The sequence below is a fragment of the Homo sapiens genome, chromosome 8, assembly GCF_000001405.40.
Source record: "Homo sapiens chromosome 8, GRCh38.p14 Primary Assembly".
NCBI lineage: Eukaryota > Metazoa > Chordata > Mammalia > Primates > Hominidae > Homo > Homo sapiens.
The window spans coordinates 66,746,305-66,760,795 of NC_000008.11; the positions used below are offsets into that span (position 1 = coordinate 66,746,305).

General features: G+C 42.1%; 2 protein-coding genes across 2 annotated transcripts in view, besides 1 other annotated feature; both read left to right on the top strand.

The window, feature by feature from the left end:
- Positions 1–14,491, top strand: part of C8orf44-SGK3 (C8orf44-SGK3 readthrough) — a 194,427-nt gene that overhangs the window by 78,709 nt on the left and 101,227 nt on the right. The window lies entirely within an intron of this gene.
- Positions 1–14,491, top strand: part of SGK3 (serum/glucocorticoid regulated kinase family member 3) — a 149,242-nt gene that overhangs the window by 33,524 nt on the left and 101,227 nt on the right. The gene's annotated exons all lie outside the window — the stretch shown is intronic.
- Positions 7,684–8,218: an enhancer, noted in NCBI's record as "NANOG hESC enhancer chr8:67666223-67666757 (GRCh37/hg19 assembly coordinates)". NCBI's record gives its function as "activates a minimal SCP1, AML or CMV promoter by ChIP-STARR-seq in naive H9 embryonic stem cells {active_cell/tissue: H9 hESC(naive)}" and the evidence as "EXISTENCE:reporter gene assay evidence [ECO:0000049][PMID:30033119]".

Below are 14,491 nucleotides of genomic sequence, written 5' to 3' on the forward strand. Positions count from 1 at the left end.
TCTTGTTTTGAGGGGAATTCTGAGAGAAAAGATGAAACATCTTTTTGCCAACATTTCAAAACAAGTCATTTCCTGAACCTTTCAACTGACCAGTTTCTCTGTCTACATCATTTAAAATGGAGAGAGCTGGGCATGGTAGCTCACACCTGTAGTCCCAGTTACTCAGGGAGGGGAGGTGGGTGGTGAAATGGGAGTTTTGCTTGAGGCCAGGAGTTTGAGAACAGCCTGGCAACAGAGCAAGATCCTGTCTCTACATTTTTTTTTTTAAAGGCAAAATCTCATTCTGTCACCCAGAGTGGAGTGCAGTAGCATAATCATAGTTCACTGCAGCTCTGAACTCTTGGGCTCAAGAGATCTTCCCACCTCAGCTTCCTGAGTGACTGGGACTATAGGCACACGCCATACTACACCTGGCTAATTTTTCTTAATTTTTTTTTTTAGAGACCAGGTCTCGCTATGTTGCCCAGGCTAGTTTTGAACTCCTGGCCTCAAGTGATCCTCCCACCTTTGTCTCGAAAGTTACTGGGATTACAGGTGTAAGCCATCATGTGGGCCTAAAAAATATATATTTTTTAAATGGAGAGACTATGCTAATGTTTCTTCTACTCAGGGCTGTTGACACCTAATTAGTCAACGTTAATGTATTTACAAAGATGAAATCCTGATGGAAGTATTCACTGGCATACTGTTTTCCAGAGGGTATAGAAATAAAATCTATTATATAGATTTTAAATTGCCTTTTAGAATTTCTCATTTCAAAAAAAAAAGGGTTTTTTTTCCCCATGGTAATTTTAGATTTTGACAGGCTAGTGTTTGTTCATCTTTCATGGCCAATTCAAATATCCAGAGTATGACATCAGGAGAAGATTCATAATTCAAAGCATGCTGAATGTAGCTTTCTGAAAGTTGTTCTCATGGTATTAAGGTGTGAGGTTTATTTTTAAAATAGACTTTTATTCCCTAACCTCATTTTAATGGTTTTGTTGTTGTTGTTGTTTTTGAGCATAGAACCATGGTTTTTCCATCTCAGAAACTTGTGTCAAATTTCTTACCAAGTAATTACTTAGAATAAAAGACTATCTTCAAGTAGTTTAAACAGCCACACAGTTTTCTGAATATATGGTACAGAATGCCTGTTTTAGAAAGTCCAGGGCTAGACTTGCAGGAGAACTAAAGGAGACCAAGATCTGGTATGGTGCCATATTATGAAAGAATGGTCCTATGTGTGATCATTTAGACTTCTTTGACTTTTCTTTTGCCATTTTTTTTTTGAGACAGGTTCTCACTTTGCCACTCAGGCGAGAGTGCAGTGATGTGATCTCAGCTCACTGCAGCCTTGACCTCCTGGGCTCAAGTGATCCTCCCATCCCAGCCTCCTGAGTAGCTGGGACTACAGGTGTGTGCCACCACGCCTGGCTAATTTTTAATTTTTTTGTAGAGACAAGGTCCCATTATGCTGCCGTTTTGTACCACTTTAATATAAAGCTAAAAATCTTCCTTATCTTTTAAACTTTTAGCCACTTAGTAATTTCATTTTTTAAAAGTCTATTTGATTTGTTAAGTCTCTATTAAAAATGATGCAATGTGCTTTGCTGTGTAGCACAGCAGACAGAACACAAGCGTTAGTGTTGGACAGGCCTGGGCTTGGATTCTCGCACTGTGGATCACTAACTGTGAATCTCAGTGAGTTACTTAATGTTTCACTTTCCACATCTGTCCAATGGAGAGTTCATAAGGTTTTCCTTATTGGGATTACATGAGGTAATGCTTGTAAAGGCCTCAGCACCAGGCTCAGCTCTTGTTATTGAGGTATGTGAAGCATCTAACACACTGCCTTTTCCTCCTACTCTGCCTCCTACTTACTCAGGATGTTCTGCTGAGTCAAAGCTAGCAGTAGAAAATTATATAATATAAATCCTTTCTTCTCATTCTTAGAAGATTTAATTTGGAGATCGTTTTGGTAAATTTAAAAAATACTGCCACTAAAGTAGTATTTATTTATGCTCGAAGGTTTCTAAAGAATTGATCCCTGACTGTGCTGAACTGGCAACCTATAAAAACAACAGTGAGTTGCTGGAGGGAACTCCACATTTTTGAAATAATTTGTTTGCTAAGCTACTCGAGTTTTGGGTATTACCTAGGGGAATTTATAAATATGTCAAGCCTTGATAGATTTTTCCTTCTTATGTTAATGCACTATTAATATGCTGGGCTCATCCTGCCTGTGGGCCATGTGTCATCCCTGCTGTTACCGACATCACCAGCATCTCGATCCTCCTGGACCTGACCTCGTGCTCATTTGCTGGCGAGGAACCCACAGGACCAGGCCAGCAGTGCCTTGGATTCACATTTCCTTCTAACACCACTGATTTAGAGATCAATAAACTCTCTACCCTGACAAGTAGAAGGAGTAGGCTCATCAATTTTAATTTTGAAAATTGCCTACATACTGTTGTCATCACTTTGAGTTACTTTTAAAAAGATGGTGGACTCATCAATTTGAAACTTGTCATGTCAGAGTTGGCCATTAGGGACTTCTGATTTTGATATTAAATTATTTCCTGTAAAATTCTCACTAGATTTTATTTATTTATTTATTTATTTATTTTAGACAAGGTCTCTCTCTGTTGCCCAGGCTGGAGTGCAGTGACACTATCTTGACCCACTGCAACCTCTGCCTCCCAGGCTCAAGCGATCCTCCCATCTCAGCCGCTTGAGTAGCTCTGGGACTACAGGCGTGCATCACCACGCCCGGCTAAATCTCTAGATATTCTAAATGAATGAATGCTTATGAGAGAAAATATGGTTAAGAAAATACGAGAGTGGAAGGGATGGACCCATATTGTATTATTCAGAAAGTTATTCAGTCAATATACGTCAAAATGGGCAAAATTGGACTTGTTTCATCTTATAGAAAAGTTATTTTTGGCTGGGTGCGGTGGCTCACACCTGTAATCCCAGCACTTTGGGAGGCCGAGGCGGGCGGATCACGAGGCCCGGAGTTCGAGACCAGCCTGGCCAAAATGGTGAAACTCCATCTCTACCCACTACACTCCAGTCTGAGCTACAGAGTGAGACCCTGTCTCAAAAAACAAAAACAAAAACGAAGAATAACAGTAAAAACCCAGCTATTCAGTTTCCTGTTCTCTTGATGGACACTTGGGTTGTTGCTAGTTTTTCGCTAGTACGAACATTGACTTCTGGCACACATCTATTGGTGAATGTGAGCAAGAATGGAATTGCTAGACCAGTTGCTTAATTTCTGAATTTCATATGAAACGTGATTTGCTTTTCTTTGAATTTAAGGAGGATTTGAGATTGAGATAATTTGGTTCAAATCAGTGGTTTGATAATGTTATATCAATTTTAGCAATTTTTCTAGGAAGAATAGTTTCCTTTTGAAATTAGAGACGATTGATTTATTCAGAAAGGCCAGCAAGTGAGGAATTTGAGATAATTTAGATATGTTTATATATAGATGCAGAAATATAAAGATATGAGACATGGTTTCAAGAGTTGGAATACAATAATAATAATGGCCAAATTATATTAAGTATGTAAAAAATAGAATGACTGCCTTGGTACATGGCAACTGAGTATCAGCCTCTGCCTGGAAATAGTTTCTAGGGTGTGTGTGTGTGTGTGTGTGTGTGTGTGTGTGTATGTGTGTAAATCTCTAAATATGAGAGGTGAAAAAATTACCTTCAGATTTCTTGGGTTTGGATAAATAAGGAATTCTTTTCTATACATTCAGCCTGCCTTGATTCCCAGTGCATCTTCTACTATATGGAAGTAACATGCTGAATCAGTTTTTACTGTGACATTTGAAATTCTTCAAATTCAAGGAAGAGATGAGTCAATAATGGCTATCATGATAGTCAACTTTGCGATTAGTGTTTATTGCCAATGCTGTCCTTTGTACATATCTGGAAATGTTTTACAAATAAAATGTATGTACATTTCTGATATAATGCCTTCCTTTCTGGAAAATTCTTATAACAATCTAACATCGCTCACTTTAAAAATGTCCTCCCTTCCTTCCTAGTTCTCTGCTTAAGACATTTATTTTGCCCCAGCCTGAGCCAGGCACCTATTTGTCTAGGTGCTAGAGATACTATCCAATCCTGCCCTCAAAGAATGTAGAGTTTAGTGGGATAGAAGAATATGTAAACAGGCAATTGCTAGGCATTATTCTTTGATGAGGATTGGTTCGTATTTAGTCTTAAGAAATGTGATAGCCAGGCATGGTGGCACGTGCCTGTAGTCCCAGCTACTCGGGAGGCTAAGGCAATGAGAATCACTTGAACCTGGGAGGCAGAGGTTGCAGTGAGTTGAGATCACGCCACTGCACTCCAGCCTGGGCAACAGAGTGAGATTCCATCTCAAAAAAAAAAGAAAGAAAGAAAAGAAATATGAGGTGCTGGGTGTGGTAGCTCACACCTGTAATCCCAGCACTTTGGGAGGCCGAGGCAGGTGGATTTCTTGAGCCCAGGAGTTTGAGACCAACCTGGACAACATGGCAAAACCCCATCTCTACCAAAAAATATAAAAATTAGCCAGGCATGGTGATGGTGCACCTATAGTCTCAACTGCTTGGGAGGCTGAGGTGGGAGGATTGCTTGAGCCCAGGAGGCAGAGGTTTCCGTGAGCCAAGATCGCGCCACTGCACTCCAGCCTGGGTGATACAGTGAGATCCTGTCTCAAAAAAAAAAAGGCCAGGCGCGGTGGCTTACGCCTGTAATCCCAGCACTTTGGGAGGCTGAGGTGGGCGGATCACGAGGTCAGGAGATCGAGACCATCCTAGCTAACACACGGTGAAACCCTGTCTCTACTAAAAATACAAAAAAATTAGCCGGGCGTGGTGGCGGGCGCCTGTAGTCCCAGCTACTCAGGAGGCTGAGGCAGGAGAATGGCGTGAAAAAAAGAAATGAGAGGAGTTGTGGGAAAGCGTCTGCTTTTCGGATATTAAGAAAATCTGTTCTTTGGCTTAAAAATGCTCATTAAATTTAAGTACTGGTTTACATATTCATTTTTATAGGGCATTTCTGTACATATATTTTCAGAGCTTAAATGAAAAAGAAAACTCATTTGTTATGAGCTTCTTAAAATACCATTCTATTTTCTTATTTGTACTTCATGAAAAAGGAGAACTCTTTTCTCATTGCCTTAAGTACTTTTTTAATATCATGAGTCATCACTTCTGGAAAGTTCTTATTCAGAAAATACTTAGCTGTCATTGAGCACATCTTATAATTATGTTAATGAATTATAAATATGGTATGACATTTTGAATTATTTTGAATTATTTAAAACAATACATGGATTTCTTGAATCTATCTACACTTAATAAATGTGGATATTGTAATACTATCTTGCTTCACTATAAGAAAGAATAGGTACACAATAGGAATAATCTCTGATTATTAAAAATCATTCATTTTATTTATTTATTTATTTATTTATTTATTTATTTATTTTGAGACAGAGCTTCACTCCTGTTGCCCAGGCTGGAGTGCAGTGGCGCGATCTCGGCTCACCGCAACCTCCGACTCCCGGGTTCAAGCAGTTCTCCTGCCTCAGCCTCCCGAGTAACTGGGATTGGAGGCATAAGCCACCACAGCCGGCTAATTTTGTATTTTTAGTAGAGATGGGGTTTCTCCATGTTGGTCAGGCTGGTCTCGAACTCTCGATCTCAGGTGATTCGCCCACCTCGGCCTCCCAAAGTGCTGGGATTACAGGCATGAGCCCCCAAGCCTGGCCTAAAAATCATTTATTGAAAGGTCAATCTTTGAAGGACTATAATGTGACCAATAGATTTTGGCCACAAGGAGAGCATTGTGCCATGTGCCAACAAAATGGGATGTCAGGGTGGAAGCTGATGACGTTTCGTTGAAGAGTGCGTAGTAGAGGGGGAAGACAAGACAGCAGGTGTGGACTCTGTTCATTCAGTAAAACTTACTGTATGTGTAGTATGGTGACCAACCACCCTTGACTGCGGTAGTTTCCTGGAATGCATGACTTGGCAATGTTAAAACCAAAAGTCTGGGGCAATCTGGGGCAATTGGTCACCTACAGGGCAGATATTATGCTAGGTTCTAAGGATGTAAAGGAAATAAACATGCAAAAAGAGAATTATTATGTAGGATGATAATTTAAGATAGCATTAAATTTAGGGGGCTATGGGAATACCCCCTATGTAGCAGAAGATGGTCAGAGAAGGCTTCAGGGAGAAGGTGATATAGTTGAAATGAATCCAGAGAAAGGAGTAGGAGTTACCCTGTGAAAAACTGGGGGGGTGGGGGAGACAGAGCATTTCAGGCAGAAAAGTGTGCTGCATGTGGTTTTTAGAGAAATGCAAGCTGTTTTTTTCCAGAAAGAGAAGAGGAAGTAGCTAAAGGGGGCCAGGTGCTTATCCACAGTGGTTTGAGGATGTAGGGGATGCTGAGGGAGATTAAGCCTGATGTTTTCGGCGAGACAAGGACATTGCTTGGGGAGAAGGGAGAGTAAAGGGAAGTGGGGAGTTTGAAGGGAGTGGGAAGTCACAGGTTTCTTTATTTTTTTAGAGACAGGGTCTCACTCTGTTGTCCAGACTGGAGTACAGTGGCATGATCATGGCTCACTATAACCTCAAACTCCTGGGCTCAAGCCTCAGCCTCCCACTTCAGCCTCCCAGAGTGTTGGGATTATAGGTGTGAGCCACCATGCCTGGCCAGAAGTTACAGATTTCTGAGGTAATCAAATGAGAGCATATTAGGTGAAAAAGCTCTGAATATTACAAACATTAAAATAAATAGCTAACACTTATTGGATGCTTGTTTCAGGTACAACAACATTATTATATTTAATTATCACAACAATCACGAGATAGGTACCATTATTATTTCCATTTTGCAGATGAGAAAAACTAGGCAAAAAAAGTTAAAACATGCCCAAGGTTACACAGTTCCTAAGAGGTGGCAGCCAGAATTCTGTAGCTTCCATGAAGCCTACAACCTCTGCATTTAATGCATTTCCATATGTGACCTTATGTGATACTCACAACCACCTCTTGTGCTAGTATTATTCCTAGATGAACCAAGGTAGAAGCTTGTCCCAAATCACATAGGTAGTCAAGATATACAGTTAGGCAAATGCATAGGAGAGGACTAGGGGAAGATACTCGTAAATTGCTGAGACTTTGCTTTTCTCTGTATTATATACTTTCCCAGCTTGCAAAAACTATTTTAAAAAAGAATATGGGCCAGGCACGGTGGCTCACACCTGTAATCCCAGCACTTTGGGAGGCCCAGGAGGGTTGATCACCTGAGGTCAGGAGTTTGAGACCAGCTTGACCAACATGGAGAAACCCCGTCTCTACTAAAAATACAAAATTAGCTGGGCGTGGTGGTGCCTGTATTCCCAGCTACTCAGGAGGCTGAGGCAGGAGAATCACTCGAACCTGGGAGCGGAGGTTGCAGTGAGCCAAGATCGTGCCATTGCACTCCAGCTTGGGCAGCAAGAGCGAAACTCCCTCTCAAAAAAAAGAAAAGAAAAGAAAAGAATATGATCTCCCCCTCTCCATACCTCCAAAATATTCTAGCCACTCATTTGAATTCCAATCCACGTTCTCCTAGAAGTCATGGATATCACTTCTTAACTCCTAACCAAATCACAAGATTGTTAATAGACTTTAAATGCCCTTATGACCTCTGAACTCCAATTGCCCTCTAGGCCCCTGAGTCTTTTGGCAGTGCTGGAGGCTCTTTGGAGCTTTGTTTGATTTGTAACCCCCTTTTGCAGCATGGGAGAAAACTTTAGAGGCCTGGAGGTGGGACTCACATAAGCTTCAGCAGAATTGGTTGTTAAAGGAAAGGTTGGGATTAACACTCCCATCAAAGGCACACAAGGGTCTTGGCAGCATGGGGTAGAGTTTGGGATATTCACAGATCAGGGCTTTTCTGTTTAAATTGTGACCAATGTTGGCTTTAGATAATTTCCTGCATTTGCAAATGAGGAATGAGAGATAATGCAAAAACTAAGGAACATTGCACCATTTTTACGTTGCTAATTAATGATTGAGACAGGACTGGACTTAAGACTCTACCCGCTTAATTCAGTACTGCAGTGGGATTAAAAGTCAGTGAGGCTTGACCACCAAGATTACTGATTTGCTGGGACAGGTTGAGTATCTTTTATCCAAAATGCTTGGAACAGGAAGTGTTTTGGATTTCGGGTATTTACAGATTTTGGAATATCTGCATATACATGATGAGATCTCTTGGGGATACGAATAAAGTCTAAAGACGAAATTCCCATTTATGTTTCATATACACCTTATGCACACAGTCTGAAGGTCATTTTATACAATATTTTAAGTAATTCTGTACATGGAACAAAATTTGTATGCATTGAACTATCAGAAAGCAAAGGTGTCACTATCTCATCGCCCACGTGGACAATCTCATCACCTATGTGGTCGATCTGTACTTGTTTGGCATCACCATCATTTCTGACTCTGAATTTATATGCTAGTGATAAGCAATCATTTTCTCCTGCTTATACACACATTAACACTTAACAGTTACCAATATGACACACCATTAATACAGTGAGAAAATAATGTGTTTAGGGTAACTAGGCAGCACAGTAGCATCCCCAGAATACCTGCATCAGCTGTTTAACAACAGCAACAAGGCCAGGCGTGGTGGGTCATGCCTGTAATCCCAGCACTTTGGGAGGCGGAAGCGGGTGGATCACCTGAGGTCAGGAGTTCAAGACCACCCTGACCAACATGGTGAAACCTCGTCTCTACTAAAAATACAAAAATTAGCTGGGTGTGGTGCAGCACTCCTATAATCCCAGCTGCTGGGCAGGCTGAGGCAGGAGAATCATCTGAACCCAGGAGGCGGAGGTTGCAGTGAGCCGAGATCACACCACTGCACTCCAGTCCGGGGGACAGAGTGAGACTCCATCTCAAAAAAAAAAAAAAACGAAAAACAGCAACAACAAATAACAACAGGCTGTCAGTCTCTGCCTGTGATGCTGTGTTTTGATTAAAAGATTGTTGTACAATAACCCCCTTGGGGATGTTAAGTAAAACTGATAAAACTGTGTTGTGCACCTGCGTTTTAACTGCAACCTGTCGCATGATGTCAGGTGTGGAATATTCCACTTGTGGCATCATGTAGACACTCAGAAAGTTTTGGATTTTGAAACATTTTAGATTTTTTGAGTTAGGGATGCTTAGCCTGTACACCTCTTCCAGATGGTTGCTGCTGGTCTCAGAATCCTTCCTGGTGGTCTTGCAGATCTTGTTTTCATCTCTGAAACTCCCCCATTTTGTAACACCATACAGCACTCCCGTACTCATTGAGTGACCCCAGTATGTCAGGCACTATTCTAAACCCTGTAGGCCCAGTGGTGAACATGACAGACGCAGTCCCTGCCCTCATGGCTCTTAGGGTTTGGTAGGTGAAACAGTTATAAAACAGTTAAATGACTATTTACTTTCATTTGTATGCTAAATGATATGTATTAACAGGGTAAGTGTAGGCTCCTATGTGAGTATAACAGGGACCTTCACTTAAGTCAGGGGTCAAGGAAAGCTTCCCTGAGAAAGTCCAATTTAGGCTGATTCACAGAGAGCGAGAAGGAGTTAGCCAAAGTGTGATAGCCTGAATTGTGTCCCCTCAAATTCATATGTTGATGTTCTAGCCCCCAGTATCTCAGACTGTGACTGTATTTGGAGACAGGATCTTTAAAGAGGTAATAAAGTTAACATGAGGTCCTATGGGTGGGCCCTAATTCAGTATGACCATTGTTCTTATAAGAAGAGGAAATTTGGACTTAGCTACGTACACAAGGAAGATGCTGTGAGGACACAGGGAGAAGGCAGCCGTCTACAAGCCAAGGAGAGGAGGCTCAGGAGAGACCAGCTCTGGTGGCACATTGATCTCAGACTTGTGCCTCCAGAATTGTGAGACAATGCATTTCTGTTGTTTAAACCACCCAGTCTGAGGTACTTGTTTATGACAGTCCAAGCAAACTATATACCAAACAAAAAATAGAGATGTGTGTTCCAGATGGAGTAAAAAAAAATGTATGAAGACTCAGAGGAGGGTTATGTGGGCTGGTTTAGTACTTACAAGGACTCACTCCATCTATGAGGAGCACAGGAATAAGGGGAGGAAAACCATGGTATCCACATTTACAAAACCCCAAATCCTTTTAAGTTATGGGCTTACAAAAGACAAACCAAGAATCTTGAAATTGAGGCATGCATCTACTTTTTTTTTTTTTTTTTTTTTTTTTTTTGAGACAGGGTCTCACATTGTCACTCATGCTGGAGTGCAGTGGTGCGAATATAGCTCACTGCAGCCTCAATCTCCTGGGCTCAAGTGATTCTCCTGTCTCAGCCCCCCAAGTAGCTGGGACTATAGGCACATGCCACACCATACCTGGCCAATTTTTGTATGTTTTAGTAGAGACGGGGTTTGGCAGGGTCTCCCTGTTGCCCAGGCTGGTCTTGAACTCCTAAGCTCAAGCAGTCTGCCTGCCTCGGCCTCCCAAAGTGCTGGGATTACAGGCGTGAGCCACTGTGCCAGGCCAGCATCAACTATTTTTAAAAAGATAATAATCTGGACATGTAAGATTTATGTATTTATTGATGACCCAGTCTCCCTTAACCTTATCACGTATAGATCTGCTTCTAAGTTTATTATATACTTCTGAGGTTCTTTGCCTAGAAGGATGTTTTTCTACCTTTCTGCCCCTGAAGATTCAATGCATAGTGCAAAAGGGCAGGAATCCTACCTACGTGATCCCTTTCCTAACTACTCAGGCCCTATTTTTTTTTTTTTTTTTTTTGAGACAGGGTCTCGCTCTGTTGCCCAGGCTGGAATGCAGTGGCATGATCATGGCTCACTGCAGCTTCAACCTCCTTGGCTCAAGTGATCCTCCTCCCTTAGCCTCCTGAGTAGCTGGGACTACAGGCATGTACCACCACACCTAGCTAATTTTTGTATTTTTTTTGTAGAGACTCAAAAAGTTCTCACCATGTTACCCAAGCTGGTCTCGAACTCCTGGGGTCAAGTGATTCTCCTGCCTAGGCCTCTCGAAGGGCTGGGATTACAGGCATGAGCCACTGTGCCTGGCCCTCAGTCCCCATTTGTCTTTCCTCTTTCAATGGTTGTATGGGCCAGTGTTTCTCAAACATTTTGGTCTCACAGAACTCCTTACACTCCTAAAAATTACTGAGTACCCCAAGGAGTTTGTATTTATATGGGCTATCTATTTGTACTAGAAGTTAAAACTGATAAATTTTAAAAAAAAAATTAAATAAAAAAATATGGCCAGGTGCAGTGGCTCACACCTGTAATCCCAGCACTTTGGGGGGCTGAGGTGGAGAGATCACTTGAGGTCAGGAGTTTGAGACCAGCCTGGCCAACATGGTGAAACCTCGTCTCTACTAAAACTACAAAAATTAGCTGGGCATGGTGGCGGGCACCTGTAATCCCAGCTATTTGGGAGGTTGAGGCAGGAGAATCGCTTGAGCCCAGAAGGTGGAGGTTGTAGTGAGCTGAGATCACGCCACTGCACTCCAGCCTGGGAAACAGAGTAAGACTCCAGCTTAAAAAAAAAAGTGTATATATATATATATACATATATATATATACACACACTATATATATACACACACACTATATGTATATATATACACACACACACTACACACACACACACACACACACACACCCTTTACATGTTAACATTAAAAACATATTTTTAAGGCCGGGCAAGGTGGCTCACACCTGTAATCCCAGCACTTTGGGAGGCCAAGGCGGGTGGATCACCTGAGGTCAGGAGTTCAAGACCAACCTGACCAACATGGCGAAACCCTGTCTCTACTAAAAATACAAAAATTAGCCAGGTGTGGTGGTGGGTGCCTGTGATCTCAGCTACTTGGGAGGCTGAGACATGAGAATAGCTTGAACCTGGGAGGCGGAGGTTGCAGTGAGCCGAGATCGCGCCATTGCACTGCAGCCTGGGCAACAGAGTGAGACTCTGTCTCAAAAACAAACAAAAAAGTATTTTTATAAAAAATAACCTTTTCCAAAGCTGAAAAAATTAGTAATTAGCATTATATTATTTGTTTGCAAATCTCTTTAATATCTGGCTTAGTAAGTGACCACTGAATCTTTAAACCTGTTTCTGCATTCAAACTGTTACAATATGTTGTTTTAAGTGAAATATCTCTCTATATCTATATATAGATATATAAATCAGGTCTTACAGAGATATGTAGTTGGAAAAAAACAGGGTATTTTTAAAGCCTTTTCAAAAATCTTGGCTAAGTAGTAGCTTCTTAGATATTAGATACAATGTGGATCCTGAATCCATATTAATGCACTTTTTTTGAGATGGAGTCTTGCTATATTGTCCAGGCTGGTCTCAAACTCCCGGGCTCAAGCAGTCCTCCTGCCTCAGCCTCCCAAGTAGCTGGAACTACCAGCATGCACCACCACTAAGGGCTCCATATCAATACATTTTTATGCTCAATTACATTAACATGCATTTGTCATTGTATTAGTTTCCTAGGACTGCTGTACAGACATAACAGATTTACACCAGCTTAAAGCAACAAAAATTTATTCTGTTACAGTTCTGGAGGCTGGAAATCAAAGGCTGCACTCCCTCCAAAGACTCTAGGAAACAATGGGTTCCTTATGTTTTCCTAGCATCAGTGGCCCTCTGCCTCTGTCTTAATAAGGCCTTCTTTTTTCTTTTTTCTTTTCTTCTTTTTTTTTTTTTTTGAGACAGAGTCTCACTCTGTCTCCCTGTCTCCCAGGCTGGAGTGCAGTAGCACGATCTCAGCTCACTGCAACCTCCGCCTCCTGGGTTCAAGTGATTCTCCTGCCTCAGCCTCCCAAGTAGCTGGGACTACAGGTGTGTGCCACCATACCCAGCTAATTTTTTATTTTTAGTAGAGATGGGGTTTCACTATGTTGGCCAGGCTGGTCTCGAACTCCTGACCTCACGCGATCCGCCCACCTCGCCCTCCCAAAGTGCTGGGATTACAGGCCAGGCGTGAGCCACTGTGCTGGGCCAATAAGGCATTCTCTTCCACGTGTCTCTGTGTCTTCTCTTCTGTCTCTCTTTTTTTTTTTGAGACAGAGTCTGGCTGTGTCACCCAGCCTGGAGTGCACTGGCATGATCTTGGCTCACTGCAACCTCTACCTCCCGGGTTCAAGCAATTCTCCTGCCTCAGCCTCCCAAGTAGCTGGGACTACAGGGGTGCACCACCACACCTAGCTAATTTTCGTATTTTTAGTAGAGACGTTGTTTCACCATTTTGGCCAGGATGGTTTTTGTTTGTTTGTTTGTTTGTTTGTTTGTTTGAGATGGAGTCTCGCTGTGTTGCCCAGGCTGGAGTGCAGTGGTGTGATCTCAGCTCACTGCAAGCTCCGCCTCCTGGGTTCACACCATTCTCCTGTCTCAGCCTCCCGAGTAACCAGGATGGTTTTAATCTCCTGACCTCGTGATCCACCCGCCTCGGCCTCCCAAAGTGCTGAGATTACAGGCATGAGCCACCACGCCCAGCCCCTCTTCTGTCTCTTAAAAGGACCCTTGTCATTGGGTTTAGGGTTTACCTGGATAATCTGGGAAGATCTCCTCTCAAGATCCTTTTTGTTGGCCACCATTCAATCTACTACAACCGCTTACATTTTGAGTGGATTTTTGATGCATGCAAGGCTTTGTAATTTCTTTAATTAGTCATTTGGAAAATATTGGTTCACTGATTTATGCAGACCTTCCAAATATTCACATTTCATGTAACAATATTATAAAAATCACATTTGTTAGTATCACTAAGTGAGTGCCTCAGAAAAATTTCTCAGTGGAGGAGAGCAGACGAGGTCATGGTGGCAGAAACTAATTTTCCAAAGCTCTACATTTGGCTTGAAAGCTTGAATTTTATCACTGCCAACAAATACATTGAGTTGTTTTCCTTGATGTGACAGGCTTACTTTGTTCATTTTCTTTTTTCTTTTTTTTTTTTTTTTTTTTTTGAGACGGAGTCTTGCCCTGTCACCCAGGCTGGAGTACAGTGGCACTATCTTGGCTCACTGCAAGCTCTGCCTCCCGGGTTCACACCATTCTCCTACCTCAGCCTCCTGAGTAGCTGGGACTACAGGTGCCCGCCACCACACCCGGCTAACTTTTTGTATTTTTAGTAGAGACAGGGTTTCACCATGTTAGCCAGGATGGTCTTGATCTTCTGACCTCATGATCCGTCCGCCTCGGCCTCCCAAAGTGCTGGGATTACAGGCGTGAGTCACTGTGCCCGGCCACTTTGTTCATTTTCAAGAAAGTGTCTGCCAAATACTTAAGTTTGGCAAATACCATCATTTGTCCGTCATCATTTCAAGTAAAAATGAGATTCTATGAAAAAGCAGCTAGTTTAGATTGCATCTCAAACAATCACACAAGGGCTTTTCTTCTAATCATAAGA